We start from the raw sequence: 7255 nt of genomic DNA, 5'->3' as shown, positions 1-7255 counted from the left end.
CAAGCGATCCACTCGCCTTGGCCTCCCAAAGTGCTGGGATTACAGGCATGAGCCACTGTGTCCAGCCACCACCAGACTTATGTGAGAAAAATAAACCTCTGTTTGATTAGGTGTTGCTAAAGTGGCTTTTCAATAACTTGCAGCCATATGCATTTCTGATAGAGCACCTAACCTATATGGAATCTGAGGTACAAAACCAAACAACCAGACTAATAGATAACAACTATGAGGAGCAGGAGTCAACTTGGCTACAATGAGTCATGTTGAGGCCCACCCATTCAAAGAACTAAAGCAAAGATCAGTCTCAACATTGTTGAAATTCCAAGTACTAAAGTTTTGCTGGTTGCCATTTGTTATGCACATATGTCACATGAAATGTGGAGGGGATGTTGTCTCTGTAAACTCAAAGTGCCAGTTTCATTCCTGTAATCCCAGTGGGAGGCCAAGTTGAGAAGATTGCTTGAGGCCAGGAGTTTGAGCCAAGCCTGGACAACATAGTGAGACTTCCCCCCCGCACCCCCCACCACTCTACAAGAAAGTAAGAAAATTAGCCTGGCATGGTGGTGCATGCCTATAGTCTCAGTTACTTAGGAGGCTGAGGTTGGAGGATCACTTCTGGCCAGGAGTTTGAGGCTACAGTGAGCTACGATCAGGCCACTGCACCCCAGCTTGGGCAACAAAATAAGACTCCGTCTCTAAAAAAAGTTTAAGAAAGGAAAAAAAAAAAAGGAAAAAGCATTAAACCAAGGCGTCAGTGACCAGTAGCATGAGAAAATGGCAATTTTTAAGGAGGTGGGAGCCTTAGTAGTTTCCCTGAGCTGCACAGATGGATCTGAGAAATAAAAGTAAAATTCTAAGCCTTCATCTGAATGAACAGAGCCCCTCTTGGCCAGGGGAACTGCAGAGAAACCTTGAAAGCTGAATTCATGGCCATGACAGGATGAGAGATTGGACACGCCTCATTATACTCCCTCCCTCGCTAACAGTCATAGGTTTTATTCCCTAAGGGCTAAACAGAAACCAGCCCTTTCAAAAGACTACTAGATTATTGTCCCAGGTACAGAACAAAGACAAAATGAGATTAATCATTTATTTACCTCTCCCCAAGAAATTTGCTTTCTCCATTCCCTTTTTCTTCAAATGTTCACCTTGTTTTATGTAAGTGTGGATTTACTGGCCACTAAAGTCTCACAAATATATAATTATTTGTCTCACTACCACCCCTCATTTTTAAGGAAAATGTGTAAATACTAAACCTCCTGTTCACCTCTTTGGGAAAAAAACAGCCACAGATGCTTCTGTGACTCACATTTTTCCTGGTGCACCCTCAAGCTGGCTCAATAAACCTTGATGTTTTGAGACTTACAGCACAATCACTCATTTTGGTTATCAGATCCAAACAAAGGATAGATTTCTAAGGTTTTTATGAATTAGGAATGAGGCTCTTCTTTAACCAGTCTTCTTGGGCAAGTTACTTGATCTCTCTATGCTTCAGTTTCCTTATCCATAAAATGGGGATAATAAAAGCATGCATCTCATTGGAGGTGTGGGCATCAAATGAGATAATCTATGTAAATAACTCAACCAGTGTCTGCACACATTAAATGTCTTTTCAACGATGTTAAAACTGAATTGTGGACCTAGCCCTTTGCATGTATTGCCCTCATCATCCACAAACCCACACAGAATTTTGCCTCTGAGGAGCAGCACTCATGACTAGTTTGTTCTCATATCAAGGAGTGCTTTAAGAGAGCTCTTAATATTGAAGCAGAGAAATATTTCTAAGCTGCAATGGACCTTGGCTTGTGCATTAATTTGGGCTCAATGAGCTGCCAAAGTTAAGTGAACTTTTACTTGAAGGGCAGTAAACAATGTCTTTCAGAAGTGTGACTCTGTTTAGAGAGAATAGTGTTTAGAATTTTTCCAGGAGTTGATTAAGCTGGGAGGTCTGTATGTTTCTTTTGAAATATTGAAATGTGGAATATTGTCTGTCTCTAATCTCCTGACATCTTTCTCAGAGATTATTTAAGGTAGTTACTAACTGTCACTGTCTACTGCACTTACTGGGTCAGTACATGTCACAAGTGTGGCTCTGTTTATTGATCTGGTTACATTTGACTATATATCACTTAAATCTGAAAAATATTGACTTAAACAAGTAAAGGGTTTATTTTATTTTATTTCATTTTTTCTTTTTATGTAACAAGAAGTCTGGAGACAGGCAGTCAGGATGTAGTCTGGTGGCGCCTTCTTCTTCCCACTAATCCTCCTTGAAATTCCCATGCTGGGAAGTTGACTGCTCCTTCTCTAGACCATGAGTTTACATTTTATGCAGGAAAAAGGGTTTAAGAACATAGTGCAAAAGGCACATGCCAGCTGCTCCTTTAAAAAATAATAATCAGGAAAATACTTGCTCTCCCTGCATTGAGAAATCTACATTCAGTAGATTTCTGCTTACATCTCATTGGCTAGGACCATGTTACCTGACCACACATAGCTACAAGGAAGCCTGAGGATTGTAGCCAGACACCTTGCTGTCCTAAACAGAACTGCATTTCTTTTGGAAGAAGAGGATGATGGTGTTGGGCGTGCAGCTTGCTGTGAGTGCTGCACCCTTCATCCCATTACTCAAAATGGCAAACTAGTTGATGGAGCAGAGGATATGGCTTAAGTGTAGAGATGTTTGCTCCAAGCCTGTATGAAAAAGTTGCCTGTTTTAAATAAGTAAAGGAAAATCCAACCTCAGTAGCATAATCCATGATTATATTATGAGGCAACATTTTAGATTTTTCTTGCTCCTCTCTGTTGACAAATATGCCTTTTTAGAATTATTGGGAAATAACATTTTTCATAAATTGTAGTACCTTGGCAGAGAAGGCCTCAGATCCTTCCTGTCAAACTGACATAAAAATATCCTAACCATAGCCTGGGCCACATGGGGAGACATCATCTGTACCAAAAAAAAAAAAAAAAATTGCCAGGCATAGTGGTATGTGCCTTTAGTCCCAGCTACTCAGGAGGCTGAGGTGGGAGGATCACCTGAGACCGGGAGGCAGAGGTTCCAGTGAGCCAAGATTGTACCACTGTACTCCCACCTGAGCAACAGAGCAAGACCCTGTCTCCAAAAAAAAAAAAAAAAAAAAAATTCCAATCATTTAAAAATTAAAGTGAGAAGACTGAGAAATGTCAATAGACCAAAGGAGACTAAAAAGACATATTGAGAAAACACAATGTGGTATCCTGGATTAGATCCTGGAAGAGAAAAAGGAAGGTAGTGAAAAAATGAGCAAAATCTGAAAAAAGTCTGCAGTTTAGTTAATAGTAACATACAGATGTTGCTTTCTTAGTTGTGACAAGTGTAACATGCTAATGAGAGGTGACAACGTGCTAGCAGCCCTCATTTGCTCTCGGAGCCTCCTCGGCCTCCGCGTCTGCTCTGGCCGCACTCGAGGAGCCCTTCAGCCCGCCGCTGTGCTGTGGGGGCCTCTCTCTGGGGCTGGCCGAGGCCGGAGTTGACTCCCTCTGCTCATGGGGAGGTGTGGAGGGAGAGGTGCTGGCGGGAGCCCGGGCTTCACGCGCGCTCGTGGGCCAGTGCGGGTTCCGGGTGGGTGCGGGCTCAGCGGCCCCACACTGGGTGCAGCTGGCTGGCGCCTGTTGGGCTTGATCGGAGGCTGGGTCCCGTGCGTGGACTTCCGTTACCTCTTTGCCGGCTCATTGGCCACCATGGCGGGTCTCCGTCTCTTTGTCGTTTCCCGTTTTTTCCTCTAGGTTGTCTGGGAGGAGCTCCATCTGGGCTGCCAGAGTGCCTGGGCTAGGTACTCCAAAGTCCCCTGGCGAGTGCCAGTAAGAGGTAAAGCCTGCTGGGCTTCTGGGACAGGTGGGGACTTGGAGAACTTTTCTAACTAAAGGTTTTTAAATGCACCAATCAGTACTCTGTGTCTAGCTAAAGGTTTGTAAATGCACCAATCAGCGCTCTGTGTCTAGCTAATCGGCTGGGGATTTGGAGAACTTTTGTGTCTAGCTAAAGGATTGTAAATGCACCAATCAGCACTCTGTGTCTAACTAAAGGTTTGTAAACGTGCCAATCAGCAGTCTATCAAAACGGACCAATCAGCTCTCTGTAAAACGGACCAATCAGCTCTCAGTAAAATGGACCAATCAGCAGGATGTGGGTGGGGCCAGATAAGGGAATTAAAAGCAGGCCACCCCAGCCAGCAGCGGTAACCCACTCCCATTCCCTTCAATGTTGTAGGAGCTTTGTTCTTTTGTTCTTCGAAAGAAATCTTGCTGCTAGTCTCTCTTTGGGTCTGTGCTGTCTTTATGAGCTGTAACACTCACCATGAAGGTCTGCAGCTTCTTTCCTGAAACCACCGAGACCACAAACCCACCAGGAGGAACTAACAACTCCGGACTCACCGCCCTTTAGAGCTGTAATGCTCACTGCGAGGGTCTGCGGCTTCACTCCTGAAGTCGGCGAGACCACGAACCCACCAGAAGGAAAAAACTCCGGACACGTCCGAATATCAGAAGGAACAAACCCCGGACACACCATCTTTAAGAACTGTAACACTCACCGCGAGGGTCGGCAGCTTCATTCTTGAAGTCAGGGAGACCAAGAACCCACCAATTCCAGACACACTAATATAAAGTGTTAACATTAGGGGAAACTGGGTGAGGGGTGAAGCTTATATGAGAACTCTGTATCAGTTTTGTACCTTTTTTGTAAATTGAAAAATATTCTAAAATAAAAAGGAAAATAATTTTTCTTCCAACATTTCCTCATTATAAAAATTAAGGGCAGCTGAGCACAATGACTCACACCTACAATGCCAGCACTATGGGAGGCCAAGGCAGATGGATTGCTTGAGCCTAGGAGCTTGAGACGAGCCTGGGCAACATGATGAGACCCCCATCTGTACAACAAAATACAAAAATTAGCCAGGTGTGGTGGTGTGTGACTGTAGTCCCAGCTACTTGGGAGGCTGAAGTGGGAGGATCGATTGAGTTGGGGAGGTGGAGGTTGCCATGAGTGGAGATCCCACCACTGCACTCCAGCCTGAGTGATAGAACCAGACTCTGTCTCAAACAAATAAAAAACAGAAAAAAATTAAGGGAATGCTGGAGGAAAAATTATTACATGACAAAATAAGTATTTACATAGAAAAAACAGCAACTGTAATTTGAATGAATGAGATCCAAATGTACTAGTATGAGCCTAAGGTATTTTCACAGCTGGAATTTTGGCATGTCCGCAAAATTGCTGGTAGAATGATCTGCAATAAGTCTATTTTTTCATGAGGAATGGGAGGCCTATTAAGAAAGAATGTATAGAGAGATCAAGCAAATGTGGTTCAAGAACAGTGGCCTGCATGGACAGGAGGACTGATACTAAATATATTATCAGTTTTTCAGAATGCATCCTGGCTCCAGAACCCATGGCCTCCTGCTGGAGTTCTCCATGTAAAAGAACCAGTAAAAGCATTCATAAAGCTGGCACACTGAGGAGGCAAGGAATCGATTGCACTGGGACAAGATCTTTATTATTTTATTATTATTATTATCTATTTGTAGAGATGGGGTCCTGGTATGTTGCCCAAGCTGGTCTCAAACTCCTGGCCTCAAGCTATCCTCCTGCCTCAACCTCCTGAATTGGTAAGCTACATTTTAAACACACTATTATTATTCATGGAAACTGACCAACTAATTATTCAGAAGAAATTAATTCTTCAACATTAGCATTTGGAGCTGGGATGTTTTCAATAAGCCCAGATAGTTACTGAATATTTTTTCCCAAGGCCACAAGTCTTGGGAAAAGAATAGTTTGTTTGCTTTTCTTTTATTTTCTTTTTCTTAGACTTAAAATCTTGGCTTGAGGCTGTGGTATCTGAGCTGGCAAATGGAAAATTTGGACTGTCTAATAAAAGTTGGGAAAGTGCAGATTGTAAAAGATGCGAGGGGTTGTTAAGTGGACAGTATTATTGGACAGGAGGGAAATCTATAGTATTAACAGTTCAGTAGTAGTTCTGGCATTGGGCACACAGGACAGGAGTAAACTGAGCAAGGCATAGGAGATCCCGTGCCTCCCTATCACTGTCAGGTCACAATGAGCTCCTCCTGCATGAACAGCCAGAACCAACCACAATGAAGGATGCCATGAGTCAGGTAGGCAAAGGAAATCAGAAAGACCTGTGGAAGAAAAGCTGCACTGCCTAGCTTCAGAGCTCAAAGAGTCTGACTGCAGGCACAAGGAAAACATAGAATTAGAAAAAAACCTTTTCAGAAAGCAACTCTGCGGAGACAGGCTTGACTGAGCCCTGCCCCCAAGTTAAATTGCTGCTGAAAACAGGTGCTGATTGGACATGCAAACTGAGAACTGCTAGTATTACCAGCCAGAAGAAAATAGTTCATCTGAAGCAGTTAAATTCCTGAAGAATATATTACTGGCATCGGTCCCACCCAAGTCTGAGTAGGAATTTCAACTTCTAGTTGACCTCTTATGGTTCTGACAAAACCATACACCATTCTTGAGGATTTTATGAACTCTATTCACTAGATTATTTGGAAGGAACAGACTTTGTGCCTTATCACTGTGTTGATCATGAGGTAACCACAGAGTGCAAAATGGAGTAATTTTGGATTTTTTTGTCCTTTTCATTGAAGTGTAATTTACATAAAGTACAATTTACAGCCTTCGATATATGGTTCTATGAATTTTGATAAATCATCACAGTTGTACAATCACAGTCTCTCCCTCTCATACCCAGCCCCTGGCAAAAACTTACCTGTTTTCTTTCCCTATCCTTTTACCTTTCCCAGAAAGTCACATTAATGGAATCATATGTAATGTATTCCCTTTGGAGTCTGAATTTGTGCACTTAGAAAAATGCTTTGGAACTTTGTCCATGTTGTTTCATGTGTCAGTAGTTTGTTACTTTGTATTGCTGAGTAGTAGTGCATTATGTGCATATATGGACATGTACCACAGTTTAATCATTGTTTAGAAGACACTGGGTTGTTTTCCCTTTTAGGAGATTATGAATAAGCCTGGCATAAAAATTTGCATAGAAATATGTGTGTGAATACAAGTTTTTTATTCTCTCAGGTGAATGTACAGAAGCAGGATTGCTGGATTGTATGGTAATTGTGTGCTTACTATTATGAGAAACTGCTAGCTGATTTTTGAAAGTGGCTATTCTGCATTGCCACCAGCAATATATGTTGCTGAACATTTTTGCCAGCACTGGGCATTGTCATT

General features: G+C 42.5%; 1 annotated feature.

The window, feature by feature from the left end:
• Positions 1748-2248: an enhancer, noted in NCBI's record as "H3K27ac hESC enhancer chrX:146980170-146980670 (GRCh37/hg19 assembly coordinates)". NCBI's record gives its function as "activates a minimal SCP1, AML or CMV promoter by ChIP-STARR-seq in primed H9 embryonic stem cells {active_cell/tissue: H9 hESC(primed)}" and the evidence as "EXISTENCE:reporter gene assay evidence [ECO:0000049][PMID:30033119]".

This window comes from Homo sapiens, chromosome X (assembly GCF_000001405.40).
Source record: "Homo sapiens chromosome X, GRCh38.p14 Primary Assembly".
Classification (NCBI taxonomy): domain Eukaryota; kingdom Metazoa; phylum Chordata; class Mammalia; order Primates; family Hominidae; genus Homo; species Homo sapiens.
This window is presented reverse-complemented; position numbering and strand designations above follow the sequence as displayed.